General features: G+C 41.2%; 1 protein-coding gene and 1 long non-coding RNA gene across 2 annotated transcripts in view; one reads left to right on the top strand and one right to left on the bottom strand.

The window, feature by feature from the left end:
* Positions 1–18475: 18475 nt before the first annotated feature.
* On the bottom strand, positions 18476–21723 carry LOC124903497 (uncharacterized). The gene is made up of 2 exons (XR_007064647.1): positions 21454–21723; positions 18476–20970 (listed from the first exon to the last, which is right to left on the bottom strand). It is a non-coding gene; the product is annotated as an uncharacterized LOC124903497 (long non-coding RNA).
* Positions 21302–21878, top strand: part of PYGO1 (pygopus family PHD finger 1) — a 50088-nt gene continuing 49511 nt past the window's right edge. The window contains exon 1 of the mRNA NM_015617.3: positions 21302–21469. Coding sequence (NP_056432.1) covers positions 21421–21469 — 49 coding nt within the window. The 5' untranslated portion in view covers positions 21302–21420. The remainder of the gene's footprint in view (positions 21470–21878) is intronic.

The raw sequence follows: 21878 nt of genomic DNA, 5'->3' as shown, positions 1-21878 counted from the left end.
GATCAAGCCACTGCACTCCAGCCTGGGCAACAGAGCAAGACTCTGTCTCAAAAAAAAAAAAAAAAAAAAAAAAAACCAAGAAAATGGTGTGATAATATCTTCAAAACATCACAAGGGAAAAAAGCTGCTATATGGAATTCTGTATCAACATAAATTATTATTTAAGTGTTAGTGTTAAATAATTCTGGATGAAGATCAAGAGAATTTACCACTAATACATCCTTGTACGTGAACGATTAAAGATGTACATTAGGAAGAGGGAAATAGAATCCACAAAGAAGATATGAGAAGGAAGAAGCAATGAAGAGCCAAAAATACAAAAAAAATGAGATAACTACTCCACACCCAGTAGGATGGCTATATCAAAAAGATAGGCCAGGTGCAGTGGCTCATGCCTGTAATCCCAGCATTTTGGGAGGCTTAGGTGGGTGGATCACTTGAGGACAGGAGTTTAAGACGAGCCTGGCAAACATGGCAAAACTCTGTGTCTACTGAAAATACAAAAAATTAGCTGGGCGTGGTGGTATATACCTGTAATCCCAGCTACTTGAGAGGCTGAGGCACAAGAATTGCTTAAATTCGGGAGGCAGAGGCTGCAGTGAGCTGAGATTGTGCCACTGCACTCCAGGCTGGGCAACAGAGCAAGACCTTTGCCTCAAAAAAAAAAAAAAAAGCAAAGATAGTAACTGCTGGTGAGAATGTGGAGAAATTAAAACCCTCATACGTTGCTGGTAGGATGTAAAAATTGGGAAGCCACTGTGGAAAATAACAGTTTCTCAAAAACAAAGTTAACATTTGACCCAGCAATCCTACTCCTAGATATATACTCAAGCAAAATGAAAACATATTCACACAAAAACTTGTCCATAAGTTCATAGAAGCAATATGCATAGTACTGAAATAATGAGAACAATCCAAATACCTACTGACTGATAAATGGACAAATGATGTGTGGTATATCCACTCAATGAAATATTATTCAGCCATAAAAATGAATAAGGTACCGATATATGCTATGACGTGGATAAATCTTGAAAACATTATGCTAAGTGAAAGAACTCAGTCAATAAAGACCACACATTGTATTATTTCATTTAAAAGAAATGTCCAGGTTGGGCGAGGTGGCTCACACCTGTAATCCCAGCACTTTGGGAGGCTGAGGTGGGCTTATCACCTGAGGTCAGGAGTTCAAGACCAGCCTGGCCAACATGGCAAAACCGCATCTCTGCTAAAAATACAGAAATTAGCAGGGTGTGGTGATGTGCACCTGTAGTCCCAGCTACTCGGGAGGCTGAGGCAGGAGAATCACTTGAACTCAGGAGGCTGAGGTTGCAGTGAGCCGAGATTGCGCCACTGCTCGCCAGCCTGGGTGACAGAGTGGGACTGTGTATCAAAAAAAAAAAAAAAAAAAAAGGAGGCAGGGACAGGCATGGAGGCTTATGCCTGTAATCCCAGCACTTTGAGAGGCTGAGGCGGGCACATCACTTGAGCTCAGGAGTTCGAGATCAGCCTGGCCAACATGGTGAAACCCCATCTCTACTAAAAATACAAAAATTAGCCAGGCATAATGGCGAGCACCTGTAATTCCAGCTACTCGGGAGGCTGAGGCAGGAGAATTGCTTAAACCTGAGAGGTGGAGGTTGCAGTGAGCCGAGATTGCACTATTGCACTCCAACCTAGGTGATTACAGAGTGAGACTCTGCCTCAAAAGTGAAAAAAAAAAAAAAAATAGAAGACAGGAAAGAAGTTAAAGAAGCAAAAATAATCCCGAGAAAAAAGGAAAAAGTAATATGGTAGGAAAAGTATAATTAATATCTGTAGTTACGAAAAAAAGTAAAATACTGCCACTTTAAAGATTGGATTAAAAAAAATCTTGCTATAGGTTGTTTACAATACATGCACTTAAAACATAATGACCAGGAATTGAACAAAGTTGCAGGGAACAAGATCAACACACAAAACTCAGTCCCATTTCTATAAACTTGGAATGAACAATCTGAAAAGGAAATTAAGAAAGCAATCTCATTTACAACAGCATCTAAGAGAATTAAATACCTAAGCATAAATTTTACCAGTGAAGTGACGTGATTAAGTTGCACGCTATAGACCACAAAACATTCCTGTAGAAATTAAAGACTTAAATAAATGGAAAGATATACTATGTTCATGTATAGGAAAACATTAGAGTATTGACATTTCATTGCTGGGCACGGTGGCTCATGCCTGTAATCCCAGCACTTTGGGAGGCTGAGGCAGGCGGATCACGAGGCCAGGAGATCGAGACCATCCTGGCTAACATGGTGAAACCCTGACCCTACTAAAAATACAAAAATCTAGCCAGGCGTGGTGGTGGGCGCCCATAGTCCCAGCACTTGGGAGGCTGAGGCAGGAGGATGACATGAACCCAGAAGGCGGAGCTTGCAGTGAGCCGAGATCGCACCACTGCACTCCAGCCTGGGTGACAGAGTGAGACTCCATCTCAAAAAAAAAAGATTTCATTGCAATCCCTATCAAAATTCCAACAGCTTTTTTTTTTATGGAAATAGAAGAGCCAATCCTCAAATTGATATGGAATTGGAAGGGACCCCAAATAGCCTAAACAATCTTGAAAAAGAACAAAGTCAGAGAACTCACGCTTCCCAACTTGAAAACTTACTACAGAGATAAAGTGATCAAAACAGTGTGGTAATGGCATCAGGATAGACCTATAGACCAATGGAATAGAATTGAGAGACCAGAAATGAACCCACATATCTATGGCCAATTGATTTTTGACAAGAATGTAAAGTCTATTCAATGGGGAAATAACAGTTTCTTCAACAAATGGTGCCAGACAACTGGATTTTCACATGCAAAAGAATAAAATTAATTGAGGTGGGAGGATCACTTGAGGCCAGGAGTTCAAGAGTAGCCTGGGCAACATAGAAAGACCCGTTTCTCTACAAAAACATTTTACAAAAATGACCAGATGTGCTGGCACATACCTGTAGTCCTAGCTACTTGGAAGGCTGAGGTGGGAGGATTGTTTGAGCCCAGGAGTTTGAGGTTACAGTGTGCTATGATTGCACAACTGCACTCCAGCCTGGGCAACAGAGTGAGACCCTGTCTCTATCAAAAAAATAAAAAAGAATGAAGTTAGACCCACTACCTCACACCATGTACTAAAATTAACTCAAATGGATCAACACCTAAATGTAAAAGCTAAAACCATAAAACTCTTAGAAGAAAATATAGGGATAAATCTTCATGATCTTAGATGTGGCAATGGGTTCTAAGATCTGACACCAAAAGGACAAGCAACCAAAGTAAGAAAGATAAATTGGACTTAATCAAAATTAAAAACTTACATGCATGAAATGATACCATCAAGAAAAGAAGACAATCTACAAAATGGGAGAAATAGCAAATCATATAGGATAATGGTTTAATATCTTAAGTATATAAAGAACTTCTAAAACTCAACAACAAAAACACCAACAACCCAAATGAAAAAAGGGCAAAGAAGTTGAATTAAAATTTTTTCAAAGAAGATATACAAATGGCCAATAAACAAATGAAAAGATGCTCAACATGCTTAATTATTAGGGAAATACAAAACTATAATGAAATACCATTTCACATTCACCAGGAGGGCTATAATTTTTAAAAAAGAAAAGAAAAGTGTGTTGGTAAGAATGTGCCAACATACATTGCTTATGGAAATGTAAGATGGTGTACCACAGCGGAAAACAGTTTGGTTTCCTCAAAAATGTAAATAAATACTTACCATATGACCCAGCAATTCAACTCTTAGGTATATACACAAATAACCAAAAGGTAGAAGCAACTCAGGTATTTATAAATAGATTAATGGATAAACAAAATGTGGTATATCCATACAATGGAATATTATTCAGCCATAAAAAGAAATGAAGTTCTGATACATGCTGCAACATGTATGACCTCAAAAATATTATCCTAATTGAGGCCGGGCACGGTGGCTTATGCCTGTAATCCTAGCACTTTGGGAGGCTGACGCAAGTGGATCACAAGGTCAGGAGATCGAGACCAGCCTGGCCAAGATGGTGAAACTATCTACTAAAAATACAAAACTATCTATTGAAAATACAAAAACTATCTACTAAAAATACAAAACATTAGCCGGATGTGGTGGTGGGCGCCTGTAGTCCCAGCTACTCGGGAGGCTGAGGCAGGAGAATGGCATGAACCCGGGAGGCGGAGCTTGCAGTGAGCCGAGATCATGCCACTGCACTCCAGCCTGGGCGACAGAGTTGTCTCAAAAAAAAAAAAGTCAATAGGTATTGCAATCGGTATTGGCTGTGGGTTTGTCATAAATAGCTCTTCTTATTTTGAGATACGTTCCATCAATACCTAGTTTTATTGAGAGTTTTTAACATGAAGTGATGTTGAATTTTATCGAAGGCCTTTTCTGCATCTATTGAGATAATCATGTGTTTTTTGTCTTTGGTTCTGTTTATGTGATGGATTACGTTTTTTGATTTGCGTATGTTCAACCAGACTTGCATCCCAGGAATGAAGCCGACTTGATTATGGTGGATAAGCTTTTTGATGTGCTGCTGGATTTGGTTTGCCAGTATTTTATTGAGGATTTTCAGCGATGTTCATGAGTTATATTGGCCTGAAGTTTTCTTTTTTTGTTGTGTCTCTGCCAGGTTTTGGCTTCAGGATGAAACTGGCTTCATAAAATGAGTTAGGGAGGAGTCCCTCCTTTTCAATAGTTTGGAATAGTTTAAGAAGGAATGGTACCAGCTCCTCTTTGTACCTCTGGTAGAATTCGGCTGTGAAGCCACCTGGTCTTGGGCTTTTTTTGGTTGGTAGGCTATTTATTACTGTCTCAATTTCAAAACTTGTTATTGTTAAGATCTTATTCTTTTAAGAAGAGACTAGCTCAGGCTAGTCTTGAGCTCCTGGCCTCAAGCGATCCTCCCACCTCAGCCTCCCTAAGTGCTGGGATTATAAGCATGAGCCACAGCACCTGGCCATTTAACAGCAATTTCTAACAAATCACAAATCTTTAAAATACAAATATTCTCTATTTTATATAAACTGTTACAAAAAATAGAAAAAGAAAGAAAATCTCAACAAATTATTTTAAGATGGTACAGTTAATACCAACAATGGACAAAAAACGGTAAAGATAAATTATAGACTAATTTCACTTATGATCATAAATACAATATTAGTCCTAAATATAATATTAGCATGTGGAAATAAAGTATTACTTATCCCAAGGAAAGTATTATTTATCCCAGGAAATAAAAGGGTGTTTTGACATCAGAAATTTAATTAATGTAATCCAATAAATAAAAACAATATGAATGTTTAAAAAGAAGTAGGGACTGGGCACGGTGACTCATGCCTATAATCCCAGCACTTTGGGAGGCTGGATCACTTGAGGTCAGGAGTTCGAGACCAGCCTGACCAACATGGCGAAATGCCATCTCTACTAAAAATACAAAAAATTAGCTGGGCGTGGTGATGGAACCCTGTAATCCCAGCTACTTGGGAGGCTGAGGCAGGAGAATGGCTTGAACCTGGGAGACAGAGGTTGCAGTGAGCCGAAATTGTGCCATTGCACTCCAGCCTGGGTAACACAAGACTCTGTCTCAAATAAATAAATAGAAATAGGAAATAATTTGATAAAATTGTACTAGTATCTATTATTATTATTATTAGACAAGGTCTTGCTTTGTTGCCCAGACTGGAGTGCAACAAGACCTCGCTTTGTTGCCCAGACTGGAGTACAATGGCGCAATGATGGCTCACTGCAACCTCTGCCTCCCAGGCTCAAGTGATCCTCTCACCTCAGCCTCCCAGATAGTTGGGACTACAGGCCCGCACCACCATGTCCAGCTAATTTTTAAATTTTTTTGTAGGGACGGGGTCTCACTTTGTTGCCCAGTCTGGTCTCTTGGCTCAAGCCATCATCCCACCTTGGCCTCCCAAAATACTGGGATTATCAGTCTTGAATCACTGCACCTGGCCAGTATTCATTATTTTAAAAAAGAAAAATCTTGGCAAACTAAGCACATATTTTAACCTGATAAAATATCCACCAAATACCTATAGCAAACATACTTAAGTTAGGGTAAAGTCTAAGATGCTTGCTGTTGCATTCCTATTCAACAATATACTGGATAAGCTAGACGGCATCATATGGGTCTGTAGGTAGAATTACAAGGGAAGAAACAGAATTGTCATTACATGCATATAGTGTGATTGTCTACATCAGAAATCCAAGGAATAGATAAACTATCATTCCAAACAGAGGTGTTAAGAAAGATAGTTGGGTATAAGATCAAAATACAAAGTGTAACAGAGTTACTATATATCAGCAACAAACAATCAAAAAGATATTATTTACCATACCATACCAACAACAATTTACCATACCAACAATTAAGAATATATTATACAAAATATGCGAGACTTTTATGGAGAAAAGTATAAAATTTTATCAAAGGGTATATTTGAAGAACTGTTTAAAGAGGGAGATAGCCCGTGTTGACATATCTATTCGTACAGGTTAAGTATCTGCTATCCAAAATGCTTGGGACCAGAAGCGTTTCAAATTTGGGATTTTTTTTTTATTTTTAGAATGTTTGCATATACGTAATGAGAGATCTTAGAGATGGGACCTACAATAATTGTATAGAGTTTTTTGTTTTGTTTTGTTTTGAGATGGAGTCTTGCTCTGTCCCCAAGGCTGGAGTGCAGTGGCACAATCTCTGCTCACTGCAACCTCCGCCTCCTGGGTTCAAGTTATTCTCCTGATTCAGTCTCCCGAGTAGCTGGGATTACAGGTGCGCACCACCACGCCCAGCTAATTTTCGTATTTTAGTAGAGACGAGGTTTCACCATGTTGGCCAGGCTGGTCTGGCCAACATGGTGAAAGTGATCTGCCTGCTTTGCCCTCCCAAAGTGCTGGGATTACAGGTGTGAGCTACTGCACCCAGCCCTTGTAAACAATATTTTAAACACATTATCTACAGAAATAAACTGTGTTATGTACCTGAATTTTGACTACAACGCATCACATGAGTTGAGGTGTGAAATTTTCCACTTGTGGTGGCAGCACCCAACAAGTATCAGATTTTTGAGCATTTTGGATTTCAGATTTTTGGATTAGGGATGTTCAACCTGTATTATGATCAATTTATGCATAAAAGAAAATTTATAACTATGAAAAGTTAACATTTGTACTAGTCAACCCTCCCTAACGACCTTCAATCCTCACCTCTCTCTGTGTCAACCTTCTTCACCTTCAGTACCCTCCAGCTCAGTCTCACAAAGCTGTCTACTAATTCCTTTCAATATTAACTGATTATTAAGCTGTTAGAGCTAGGTAATTAACATTTTAATAGATAACTGTTAAACTCCAAAGCAATTTTACAATCCAAAAGAATGAAGCCACAGTTGTGGAATGACATGGGATGAGGATGATACTTTTGTGTAAGGGGCCTAACTAGTATATTCACAGAGTTGTGTGAGCATATTGATATTCTGATATTCTAAAAATATCAGAATTCATTTAAATGAATAACCATATACTCTCAAATTGTCTGTGCATGTATACACAAGCTTATAATTTACATATAATGTTAATATAATTTTGAAATTAGAAATGAAACACGTCCTTTCACATTTTGTTTATAACAAAAGCCATAATAAGAATGGGAACTCTGGGAACCAGAGTTCTCCCTGTGGGAGAAGAAAGATAAAAATGTGGAAGGGTGAAAGGTAAGGAAGAACCATGTGCAACTGATTTGGAATTAGAGGCATTCATATGTATTGAATAATATGAATTCATTATATATGCATGTAAATACATGTAAATAAATAAATAAATATATAGTTGAACCATATGAAATTGTCATTTTTCCCAGAAAAAGCCTATAATTAGTGACGCTGCAGTGGTAATGAGCACACTAAGCACCCAGAATTTGTGTTCTAAATACTAGTCCTCAGGACTCCTTAGGGGAAATTGCTAATTCCAGGGCTGGAACAGAGAAAAGTATTGGAACCTGGAACATTTTATTGTGTCAGAAAGTAAGGAAGAGCTCAAGAAACTATGGTACATGTTCAAAAGATCACCAACGTCAGCTGAAGGGGCTTCTTCTAGCCAATTCTGGAACAAGCTGATTATCAGAATGAATAACAAGTAATAAATTATAACCCACTGAATAAAATAATGAATGCATACGTCCATTCTGATAGAGAGAGAAAAAGAGAAAGTAGAATGCCAAATAAGAAACGTAAAAGGAATGCTAGAGTTAGAAATGACCATTTTGCAGCTATAATATTGATAACTAATTCAGGTAGGAATCATCAAAGGATGCAAAAAAATAGTGGATGAAAGTTTAATGCAGAATGGGATATATCATAGTTTCAAAGTCTTTTCCCAGAGAGCACTTATTAATTTTATAGTGATGATAACTTTACAGTAGAGAAACATAGAGGACATCACATTACCCAAGTGATCAAAGTTAACATCACCAATAATAAAACACATGGATATCATGTGCCTCCTGATGTGGTGCGCTGAGTAGGACAAAGCTTCATTATTATGCATTATTCCTGCCTAGAACGCATCAACCTTAATCTAATGGTGAGAAAACATCAGAAAAATCCAAGCTGAGTGTCACCCTATAATAACGATAGGCCTGTATTCTAAAAATATCAGTGTCATGAATGACAAGAGAAGATGGAGGGACTATTCCAGATGAAAGAAAGAACATGACAGTTAAATACAATGTGGATCTTTGATCGGGGAGAAAAAAACTGACATCCAAGGACATTACTCAAACTATTGATGAATTTAGATATGGTCGGCATGTTAGATAAAAATATTTTAACTTGTGTTAAATTTCCTTAATTTGATTATTGTTCTATGACTGTGTAAGAGACTATTTTGTTCTTAGGAAATATACACTGAATTATTAGAAGTAGGCATGAAGGTTCAGAAAATTGTTCAGAAAATAATAACAATGGCAATAATAACAATAAAGTGTGAGTGTGTAGACAGGGAGGAAAACAAAGAAGGCAAAAAAATAAGTAATTGAAGCAAAATGTTTATTTATTTATCCAAGTGAAGGATACACTTAAGTTCTTTTTATTTTTCTTGTACCTCTTCTGTCAGTTTGAAAATAAAATTTAAAAATTTAAGAAGTTAATGTACTGGTATATCTATCCAACGGAATATTATTGACCCGTAAAAGAAATGAAGTACTAATACATATAGAACGTGGAGGCCGGGCGCGGTAGCTCACGCCTGTAATCCCAGCACTTTGGGAGGCCGAGGCGGGCGGATCACGAGGTCAGGAGATCGAGACCATGCTGGCTAGCACGGTGAAACCCCGTCTGCACTAAAAAGACAAAAAATTAGCCGGGCGTGGTGGCAGGCACCTGTAGTCCCAGCTACTTGGGAGGCTGAGGCAGGAGAATGGCGTGAACCCGGGAGGCGGAGCTTGCAGTGAGCCGAGATCGCGCCACTGCACTCCAACCTGGGTGACACAGCGAGACTCCGTCTCAAAAAAAAAAAAAAAAAAAAAAAAAAAGAACATGGAGGAATCTTGAAAACATTATTCTAAGTCAGAGTAGCCAGTCGCAAAAGGCTACATGTGATTTCATTTATTATTAAATGAAATGTCCAGAATAGGCAAATTCATAGAGACAGAGAGTAGTAGTTGCCAGAGCCTAGGAAATAAAAAGAGAGGGAGTGACTGCTAACTAGTATAGGGTTTCTTTCTGGGGTGATTAAGATGGTTTGGAATTAGCTAGTGGTAATGTTTACACAACTCTGTGAATATACAAAAATATACTAAAAAGTGAGAATACTAGACACAAAATGATACACATTAAAATGGTGAATTTTGTGGTATGAAAATATCTTTATAAAATTCACAAGTGTACAAAAAATGAAAGACTTAAAGGAATATTACAGTACAAAGTTGTCATCGTTTTGCCTTCCTGTTCCCACTCTTTCCCTCCAAACACACATACAAACCAAAAAGGCTTAAAATTGGCACATTTTCTGTCTTTTAAAAGAGATTTTATAGGCCGGGCACGGTAGCTCACGCTTGTAATCCCAGCACTTTGGGAGGCTGAGGCGGACGCATCACCTGAGGTCAGAAGTTCGAGCCCAGCCTGACCAACATGGCGAAACCCCTCTCTACTAAAAGTACAAAAATTAGCCAGGCGTGCTGGCGGGCACTTGTAATCCCAGCTACTCAGGAGGCTGAAGCAGGAGAATCGCTTGAACCCGGGAGGCAGAGGTTGCAGTGAGCCGAGATTGCGCCACTGCACTCCAGCCTAGGCGACAAGAGCGAGTCTCTCTCAAAAAAAAAAAAAAAGAAAAAAAAAGATTTTATAAAATGCCAATGTTCTATATTTACAGTTTGTTGTTTTAACACCAAGACTTGTCATGTTTCTTAGGTAGTCCTGCCTTGCTGTGTTTCATTCACAAATATGCACACATCTTGCTCATTCCCACGTTCTTAAAAAATTTCTCAGGCAACCCACAGTGTTGCAGTCTGCCTATGTTGGCAGTATTCATATCCCGAAAAAAATCTGCCTTTTTTTTCGCATTGCTGTAAAAAACAGAGCAAAACAAGGCAAAAATCCCACATGATTTTGCCATATTGGCTTCTTCAGCTATCACATAAGAAGTACATGACTCACTAAGCCTTTAGGATCAAAGATTACAGACAGATGCATCACTACAGGTATGTCCCTTATAATATGATGTGGCAACCATGAATATTTTAAACCATGCTGCCCAGGAAAAAATACCAGGGACCTTCTTATGATGGTAATATTAAACTCAAGTCTTTGGTTATTGGTTGCAGAGGGTTATGTCAAGTCCATATGACAAACAGTGATCAAGATGGAGAGCTACGTTTGTCCCTTTCTTGACTTGTAAACTTTCTCAATTTTCATTTCATTTTTATTTATTTTTATTTTATTTTATTGAGACAAGGTCTCTCACTCTGTTACCCAGGCTGGAGTGCAGAGGCACAATCATAGCTCACTGCAGACTCGACTTCCTGGGTTCAAGCAGTCCTCCCACCCCAGTCTCCCAAGCAGCTGGGACTAAAGGTGCACACCACCAAGCGCGGCTAATTTTTAAAAAATTTTTTTAGGCCGGGCTCAGCGGCTCATGCCTGTAATCCCGGCACTTTGGGAGGCCAAGTTGGGCAGATTGCCTGAGCTCAGGAATTCGAGACCAGCCTGGGGAACATGGCGAAACCCCGTATCTACTAAAACTACAAAAAATTAGCCGGGCGTGGTGGCGGGCACCTGTAGTCCCAGCTGCTGGGGGTGCTGAGGCAGGAGAATCGCTTGAACCTGGGAGGCGGAGGTTGCAGTGCGGTGAGATGGCACCACTTCTCTCCAGCCTGAGTGACACAGTGAGGCTCTGTCTCCAAAAATAAATAAATAAAATAAATTTTTTTTTTGTAGTGACAGAGTCTCACCATGTTGCCCAGGCGAAACTTCCTTAATATTTTAAAAGAATTACAAATATCCTATTAATTTATTTTTCAATATTTATGCAGTAGAACTATCTGGAAAGTCTTTGTCTGAAATAACATGTATTTCAGGATGCATTAATATACATTTTGTGTGAATCTGAAATTTGTCTATAGTAACCTATTGCTTAGCAAACTACCAGGAACATGATTACTGGTTAATATATATTAAATGAATAATGGATAAATAAAATTATAGAATGTGAATGCTTTGGCACTGAAATATTTTCCAGTGTACAATTCATTCATTCATTCACTCAAAAAATATTTTTGAGCACCTGCTACATGCCAGGCATTAACGAGCAAAAATTAACACAATTCTTGCTTACATGAATTTTAATCTGGAGATGAAGACAGGGTTTAATCAGATATTCACAGAAATTACTATATAATTTCAAACTGAGAGATGTGATGAAAGAAAGATGAAAAAAGGAACCTGACTTAGACTAGAGAGGTTTCCCTGAGGAAATAATGCTTGAGTTAAGAATGAAAGGTAGAGTTTGAGTTAATTAGACTAAGAGCAGGGAGAAGAGCATCCCAGGAAAACGAAACAGCATTAGCAAAGCCACCGTGGCAGGAGACTAATGATGAATTGAGGACAAGTTTAAAAGGCCAGAGAGCATAAAGAGCAAGGGAAGTGGTACAGAATGAGGTTGGAGAAATCAGTGGAAATTATATTAAAGTCTTGCAGTATATATTTTTAAAAATCAAGCCTTGGCCGGGCGCGGTGGCTCGCGCATGTAATCCCAACACTTTGGGAGGCCGAGGCGGGTAGATCACCTGAGGTCAGGAGTTCGAGACCAGCCTGACCAACATGGAGAAGCCCTGTCTCTAATAAAAATACAAAAAAAAAAAAAAAAATTAGCTGGGGATGGGGCACATGCCTGTAATCCCAGCTACTCGGGAGGCAGGAGAATCACTTGAACCCGGGAGGCAGAGGTGGCAGTGAGCCGAGATCGTGCCATTACACTCCAGCCTGAGCAACGAGAGCGAAACTCTGCCTCAAAAAATGAAATAAAATAAAATAATAAAAATCAAGCCTTAATTATACCACAGTGGAAAGGCATTGAAGAGTTTTATGTAAAATAACGACATGATGAGATTTGTGTATTTTAAAAAAGCACTCTCCACTCCAGAAAATAGTTTGGAAGTTCCTTTCAAAACTAAAAATGGACTTATCATATGACCCGGCAATTGTATTATTGATCATTTATCCTAGAAAAATGAAGACTTGGGCTGGGCGCAGTGGCTCACACCTGTAATCCCAACACTTCGGGAGGCCAAGGCAGGAAGATTGGTTGAGCCCAGGAGTTTGAGACGCCCCCCTGGGAAACACGGCGAGACTCTGTCTCTACGGATTTTTTTTTTTTAAATCAGCAGGGCATGGTGGTGCACACCTGTAGTCCCAGCTACTCAGGAAGCTAGGGTGAGAGGAGCCCTTGAGCCAAGGAGGTCAGGGCTGCAGTGAACTGTGTTCACACCACTGCAGTCCAGCCTGGGTGCCACTGCACTCTGGCCTAAGCAAAAAGGAGGCCCTGTCTCAAAAAAAAAAAGAAAGAAAGACAAAGAAAGAAAGAAAGAAAGGGAAAGAAAGAAAGAAACGGAGAGAAAGAAAGAAAAATAAAAATGCAGACTTATTTTCACACAAGAACTTCTATGTAAATGTTTATAACAACTCTGTTTATAATAGCCAGAAAGTACAAACTACCCAAATGTCCTTCAACGAGACAAGTGTTAAACTGTGATACCTCCATACATGGAATATTATGAAGTAGTAAAAAGGAATAAAATTTTGACACATACAACCATGATGAAACTCAAGGAAATTGCATTGTGTGTAAAAAAAGCCAATCTCAAAAATACATATTCCTGATTTCATTTGTGTAACATTCATGAGATAAAATAATTATAAAAATGCAGAATTGATTAGGGGTTGCTAGGAATTAAGGATGGGGGAGTGGATGAGTGTGGCTATAAAGGGCTAACAAGGTAGTCTTGTCATTAGAGTCTTGTGGTGCTGATACAGTTAAGTATCTTGATTGTGTGCTACATAGACACACACAAGTGCGTGTAAAACTAGTGAAATTTGAATAGGCTCTATGAATTGCACCAATGTGCATTTCTTGGTTTTGATACTGTGCTATAGTTTCGTATGATGTTAAAATCAGGTCGCTGGGGGCAGTGGCTCACGCCTATAATCCTAGCACTTTGGGAGGCCAAGGTGGGTGGATTCCCTGAGCTCAGGAGTTTGAGAGCAGCTGGGGCAACACGGTGAAACCCCATCTTTACTAAAATATGAAAAATTACCCAGGCGTGGCAGTGTGTGCCTGTAGTCTCAGCTACTCAGGAGGCTGAGGCAGGAGAATTGCTGGAACTCAGGAGATGAAGGTTGCAGTGAGCCAAGATCATGCCAGTGCACTCCAGTCTGGGTGACAGAGCAAGATTCTGTCTCCAGAAAAAAAAAATTGGGGTAAACTGGGGGAAGGATGCACAGGGCTTCCCTGTGCATTTCTTTATAACCTCCTTTGAAGCCATAATTATTTCAAAATAAAAAGTTAAAAAAAAACCCAGCAGTCTGGCTACTAAGTGGAAAATGAATTGAACAGAGGACAAAAAATGTGGAGAAAACTTGGGTGATTATTGCATAAGTCCAGAAAAGAAATAAATGATTTTGGCTAGATTTGGATGGTGGTAGTGGGGATAGAGAAGAATGGACACATCTGAGAATATATAGGTGGTAAAATTTGTGGAATCTGATGATGGATGGGATATAAAAGGCTAAAGAGGGCCAGGCTCCGTGGCTCACGCTTGTAATCCCAGCAGGCCAAGCTGGTTGGATCACATGAGGTCAGGAGTTCAAGACCAGCCTGGCCATTATGGCGAAATCCCATCTCTACTAAAAATACAAAAATTAGCTGGGTGTGGTGGTGGGCACCTGTAATCCCAGCTACTCGGGATGCTGAGGCAGGAGAACCAATTGAACCTGGGAGGCAGAGGTTGCAGTGAGCCAAGATCATGCCATTGCATTCCAACCTGGGCAACAAGAGTGAAACTCTGTCTCAAAAAAAGAAAGGCTAAAGAGAATAAGATCAAAAGTATTCTGAAGTAAAACTTTGTCCCATATTTCATAATATAGAAAATAAACATGTATTTAGGGCATGACAGCAAATATTTGGGAGGCACCATTTTATGACATAGTATATTCCAGAACCAAAGGTGCTTATTGATATGAGGTCCCTTACAGAGCTTTGCTAGGCTAAAGTACACACCATCATTGTGTCAATAATAAATTTATTGCCTCTCAACTCCAAATTTATCCTTCCTTGCCTGCTCTGCAAAAATGGAGCTGGACTCTAAATATTAATATTTTGCCTTTGCCAGCTGGCATGATGTTAAACTTTGTCAGTAGAAGGTGCTGGAGAGACATTATAAGAGTAAGGGGCTTTTGCTTTCCTTCCTGTTTCGGTTGTTCCTCTGAACGGGTTTCTGCAGCATTCATAGCCTCCTTCCAGGTCCTGCAGTGCTGGCAACATCAGTGCCAGGCTCTGCAATGCCGGCAGCACCCAGGGCATCTTCCTTTGGCACTCCCCTCAGAAGGTAGCACCACAGCAGCTTCTCTGGCATCCAGTGAGCCGCAGCTGTGCACTCACCGGTAAGGTCAGGATCTTAGCCTGGAGAGGAGGGGGACCTCTTCTTTAGGTGCTTTATCTTAGTTTTAAGGATAGTGCCTGCTCCTTATATCTGTTTTTCTCAAATACTTTAGCATTCTCTTTACTTCATACTGTCCCTCACTTCACTTCATACTAATCCCTTACTACTTCAATCCCTTGGTATAGTTAATAATCCTTTATATTAAACTTTCTCCATTCAAACTGTGTGCCCCTTGTGTCCTGATGGAATCCTGATTAATACAAACCATCTTCCAAAGTTTGCTGTTGTTATTGCCCTCAACTTTGAGCTTTTGATAGCACTATATTTGTCAACGAAAGGCTCCTGGATATGATTGGCCGATGGCTAGAGTTTGCTAAACTGGCTGCAGCTTCAATTACAACATGAAAGGATTCAAACCAATTTGCAAAACTTCCAAACATCTAGATTGGATTTGATTTTTATTTCCATTCAATGTAATACAAATCTGTGATTGCAAATGTTTTAAAATAGAACTTACAGAAATATTTTCCTTTTTTTTTTTAAAGTGTACATGTTAATCGAAACCAACTTAGATTAGAGGCTGAGTGCTTAAACATTGCATCACGCAACCATCCACAATAAAAACATGCAAAATTTGAGATGAAAAATATTAAAAGCAGACTATAAAATCAATACTTTAAAATATAAGAAAACCAAAAAGTTCAGTAGATGCCAGGCCAAGGATGACTGATGATAGAAATGAGTACTTCTTTCCGCAGCATGTGATACTGTTTCTTCCTTTTCTTTATTGCCCTAACAGTCCTGTTTTCTTTGTCATTCTTTCATGATTTCCTTTACAGCCTCCTCTATCTTTGTTAACCTTTTAAACTGTCATCATTTCCTTGCATTCTGTTCTTGGCTCTTATTTTTCTTTGGTCCTTGATGAGTTTATCCATTCTTAGGTAATGTCTCCTTCATGTGTATCTGCAGCCTAGGCCTGTCATCTGAGCTCCAGAGTCCTTTATATAGCCCATGTTCTAGCCCAGGGGTCAGCAAACTACCATGTGTGGGCCAAATCCAGTTCATTGCCTGTTTTTTTTTTTTTTTTTTTTGAGTCTTGCTCTGTCGCCTAGGCTGGAGTGCAGTGGCGCGTTCTTGGCTCACTGCAAGCTCCGCCTACAGGATTCACGCTGTCCTCCTGCCTCAGCCTCCTGAGTAGCTGGGACTACAGGTGCCCGCCACCACGCCCGGCTAATTTTTTGTATTTTTAAGAGAGACATCGCAGACTCAGGTGTCCGAAACTAAGCTCATCATCATCCCACTTCACCAACTATTACCACCATCAAATGTCTCCCTGTATTCTGTGTCACCTAAAACAAGTCTGGGAGCAAATTCCTGATTTGTCCTTCACCTTCCCCATCTAAACAATTACCACGTTGTCAGTTGTTACCACCATTCCTTATGCTTCCTCTCCACTACCCCACTTCAATGTAGAAGGCCCTCATCCATCTCTTACCTCATTTTCTCTATAATTTCCTTTTTTAATTTTTTTAACTTTTAAGTTCAGGGGTACATGTGCAGTTTTGTTATTTAGGTAAACCTGTGTCATGGGGGTTTGTTGTACAGATTATTTCATCAGCCAGGTATTAAGCCTAGTACCCAACAGTTATTATTTCTGATCCTCTCCCTCCTCCCACCCTCCACCACCTGGTAGGCCCCAGTGTCTCTTATTCCCCTCTATGTATCTATGTGTTCTCATCATTTAGCTCCCACTCATAAATGAGAACATGTGGTGTCTGGTTTTCTGTTCCTGTGTTAGTTTGCTAAGGATAATGGCCTACACTCCATCTATGTTCCTGCAAAGGACATGGTCTTGTTCTTTTTATGGCTGCGTAGTATTCCATGGTGTATATGTACCACATTTTCTTTATCTGGTCTATCATTGATGGGCATTTAGGTTGATTCCATGTCTTTGCTATTGTGAACAGTGCTGCAATGAACATATGTGTGCATGTGTCTGTATGACAGAATGATTTATTTTCCTTTGGGTATATACCCAGTAAAGAGATTGCTGGGTCAAATGGTAGTTCTGGGGTTGCAGAGAAAAAGGAATGCTTATACACCGCTGGTGGGAGTATAAATTTGACTTTTTAATAATAGCTGTTCTGACTGGTGTGAGACGGTATCTCATTGTGGTTTTGATTTTCATTTCTCTAGTGATCAGTGATGTTGAGCTTTTTTTCATATGCTTGTTGGCTACATTATAATTTCTAATTGGTATGATTTGAATGTATCTGCTCCAAAATTCAGGTGTTGACAATATGATAGTGTTAGGAGGTGTTGGTTTTTTTTTTCTTTTTGAGACAGAGTCTTGCTCTGTCGCCCAGGCTGGAGTGCAGTTGCGCAATCTCGGCTCACTGCAAGCTCTGCCTCCCGGGTTCACGCCATTCTCCTGCCTCAGCCTCCTGAGTAGCTGGGACTAGAGGCACCTGCCACCACGCCTGGCTAATTTTTTGTATTTTTAGTAGAGACGGGGTTTCACCATGGTAGCCAGGATGGTCTCGATCTCCTGACCTCGTGATTTGCCTGCCTCGGCCTCCCAAAGTGCTGGGATTACATGCGTGAGCCACCGCGCCTGGCCAGGATGTGTTGCTTTTAAGAGGTGGTTAGACCATGCGGATTCCTCCCTCATGAATGGGATTAGGTGCCCTTCTAAAGGGGCTTCATAAAGGGAATGTGCTCTTTTTTGCCCTTCTAGCTTCTGCCTTGTAAGGACACAGTGTTCCTTCCTTCCGGAGGACATAGTGTTCAAAGCACCATCTTGGAAGCAGAGAGCAGCTCTCACCAGATGCCAGCACCTTAATCTTAAGAGTTCTTACCCTCCAGAACTGTGAGGAATACATTTCTGTTCTTTAAAAATTACCCAGTCTGTGGTGCTCTGTTATAGCAGCACAAATAGACTAAGATACTAATGTTCTGTGCCTCTCTAATCCATCTTTCACCTAGTAGCCAGAATGATCTTTCTAAAATTCAGACCTAAACATGTCACTCACCTGCTTAAACTCATCAATGTTTCTCCATTGCTTTCAGGATAAAATCAAACATTCTTGGTGTGGCATGCAATGCCCTTCAGAGGTCTGGCCTCTTGTCTACTTCCTCAAAATCAGCTCCTGCCACTTCTCAAAAGGTACCTTATGCTCCAGCCAGTCCTAACTACTTACAGTCTCCAAAAGATTCATACGTTTTCACCCTTCTTGTCCTTTGGAAACTCTGTTCCCTCTGATTACAAGACTCCATTTGCCCTTGCAATCCATTTTATTTTCTACATGTTCTCACCTCAACCATTTTATGGTAAAATACATATAACATAAAATTTACCATTTTAGCCATCAAATACAATTTAGTGGCATTAATTACATTCACATTGTTGTGTAACTATTACCACTATCCATCTCCAGAAAATTTTCAATATCCCAAACTGAAATACTGTACTCATTAAACAGTAACTCCTCATTACCTAACCTTTATCCTCAACCCCTGGTAACAACTCCTACATGTTCTTTTTTTTTTTTTTTTTTTTTTGAGACAGAGTCTCTCTCTGTCGTCCAGGCTGGAATGCAGTGGCACAATCTTGGCTCACTGCAACCTCTGCCTCCTGGGTTCAAGCAATTCTCTGCCTCAGCCTCCCGAGTAGCTAGGATTACAGGCACCCACCACCATGCCTGGCTTTTTGGTGTGTTTTTAGTAGAGACGGGGTTTCACCGTCTTGGCCAGGCTGGTCTTGAACTCCTGACCTCGTGATTCACTCACCTCGGCCTCCCAAAGTGCTGGGATTACAGGCATGAGGTACTGTGCCCGGCCTCCTATATGTTCTTTTTAAGGCTCTCCTAAAAACATCATCAGCTACCTGCCTCCCAAGCTGAGTGGAGGGTTTCTGTCCTCTGCTGACACGGAAGTCTATTGCAGTGCTTGGCATTTTGCATTGTTCATGTTACCTTAAACCTCTACTTCCTGCCCTAAACTGTGAACTTCTTAAGGACAGGAACCATTGTCTCAATCTCTGTATACAATCTTTGGGTGACAATGTTTTATACCAAATGGCTGATAAATGCAAGTCATCAAATCTGCTCATTGCTTTTGAATCACCTAGAGAGCCTTTAAAAACAGACGTCTAGGGATTCTGACTCTAGTAAATCTGGGGAGGGACTTAGGAATCTGAAATTTTGGAATGCTCTCCAGGTAATTCTGATTATGTGCAAGGAAGCCATCAAGATTTGGAAGTAAAATCGATTTAAAAGACTATGCCCAAGTAAGATGGTCTTTTTATTCTTGATGAATCATTAAAAAGAAGCCAATTCATTTCTCTTGATTTTCATGCTATTTCTGAGTCTCTAGCTTTAGGGAATTACAATAAAGAACTCAAAATCTCTTAGCAATGATTTTTCTGAACCATTCTCCTTCCACTAAGAGTTATAAAATGAAAATATGTCATTTCCATATTTTTCTGGAGGGGGGACAGGGTCTTGCTTGCTCTGTTAACCAGGATGAAGTGTAGTGGTGTAATCATCGCTCACTGCAACCTTGAACTCCTGGGCTTAAGGGATCTTCTTGCCTCAGTTTCCTGAGTAGTTGGGACTATAGGCCGGTGCCACCACGCCTGGCTAATTTTTAAAAATTATTTTGTAGAGAAGGGTCTAGCTTTGTTACCCAGGCTGGTCTCAAATTCCTGGGCTAAAGTGATCCTCCCGCCTCAACCTCCCAAAGTGTTGGGATTTACAGGCGTGAGCCACCACAGCTGGCCTTCATTTCTTTGTTGACTTACCAAAGTGCTTTCAAATTTTCCTCCAACCACCCTATAACATAGATTATTAGATTCAATCTGCTTTATTTTTAATTTTTTTTTTTTTTTTTTTTTGAGACAGAGTCTCACTCTGTCACCCAGACTGGAGTGCAGTGGCGCGATCTCGGCTCACTGCAAGCTCCGCCTCTCGGGTTCACGCCATTCTCCTGCCTCAGCCTCCCGAGTAGCTGGGACTGCAGGCGCCCGCCACCACACCCGGCTAATTTTTTTTTTGTATTTTTAGTAGAGACGGGGTTTCACCGTGTTAGCCAGGATGGTCTTGATCTCCTGACTTCATGATCCGCCTGCCTCGGCCTCCCAAAGTGCCGGGATTACAGGCGTGAGCCACCGCGCCCGGCCCCCAATCTGCTTTATTATATTACCATTTGCTTCGGCTTTATTACACTTACCAAAGCCCTGCCACCCCAGTCGTCCCAGGGCCACTTCAAATCTCTTTATTCATACATCAATGAATATTTTCCCGAACACTTACTATGTGTTACTCAGTATTAGGTACCAGAGGATACAGCAGTGAGCCAGTCAAAATTCCTGCCTGCATGGCGCTTACATTCTAGTTAGGAGGAACCTTCTCCTCAGAGTGCTTCCTGTAAGAATATTTTCCTTAGCCTGTCCTAGTCTGACTCTTCTAATCAGGAATTCCATAATTCCAGACCACCCTTATTAGATAAAGGGTAACATTTGCCTCCGGCCACGCTATGTCTTAACGACGATCAGCCGCTGTGGCGATTGTCTGGTATGCAGCTGTTGAGGCTGTACATTGGCTTCATGTTAACATCTGTTCTCTGTGACACTGTGCAGCTGAATGAGTTGGGTGTCTGTCTCCGGAAGGACGAGACTCCTGTCTGTAGCTAGTTCTGTGTCCTCCCACGCTTCATGAGTGCTTTTCGGTGATTCTTACATCAAAATAAGCCCAGTGGATAACCAGAAAACCTAGCAAAACAAAAACAAAAACAAAAAACAAAAAACAAAAACCAGGGAAAACAATTTCGTAGAAGTGCGTTAAACAATGTCGGAGCTAGAAGAGACCTTCGAGATGTAGCCCCACTGCCTTTTATAGACAAGAAAACTGAGACCCAGAGAGGTTACCTAAGTCGCCTCCGGTCACACAGCCCAACTGAAGAATGTGGACCGGTGATCACATCTAATTTACAATCACACTGGGGGTGTTCCTCCTAAAATTTAACGTCTAAATGAGATCCAGCCGCGTCACCGCTTCTACCCACGCTCCCCCCTCCCCCGCCCACCGTCCTTTCTGGTATTTATTCTACGTCGCTCTTTCTTGAAGAGTCAAGTCGTTAAAATACCAAGTGGAGGCATTCTACAGACAGGTGTCCACACCACGGCCACGCGGACACGGAGTCGGGGAATCTGGATCCCCACATGCCCGCCGAGAACTCTCCAGCTCCCGCTTACAAAGTTTCCTCGCATGGTACGTTCATCTTTCCGATCCCTAGCTGCGAGGCCGAGACGCCTGCTGCTGTGGCCTCCGACGAAGTTCGGAGATGCCCTTTCCTTGCGAAAGCTGGGCCCGGTAGCGTCGGCCGCGGGGTCGGGCGTTCTCGGGCCTGGCGGTCGGCGAGGGAGCGCCGGGCGCGGGGCGGGGCGGCCCCTAGGCGCGCGCTGCCCACCCGGGCTGCAAGAGCCGCGGGCCCGCGAGCCCCGGCTTGGAGCAAGAGGCGCGCGCGGGCCGTGGGGGCTGGGCCGAGGCGGAGCGCGAGGCGGCGGCGGTGGCGGGAGGCGCCGCGGGACGAGGCAGCGGCCCCCGCCCCCCGAAGCCCGTCCCCGCGCGGGGCTGGGGAGCTCAGGGCGGGGAAGCCGCGGGGCCGCGCCACGTCCCT

Source organism: Homo sapiens, chromosome 15 (genome assembly GCF_000001405.40).
Source record: "Homo sapiens chromosome 15, GRCh38.p14 Primary Assembly".
NCBI lineage: Eukaryota > Metazoa > Chordata > Mammalia > Primates > Hominidae > Homo > Homo sapiens.
The sequence above is the reverse complement of the archived record's forward strand: the minus strand, read 5'-3'. Positions and strand labels throughout refer to the sequence as shown.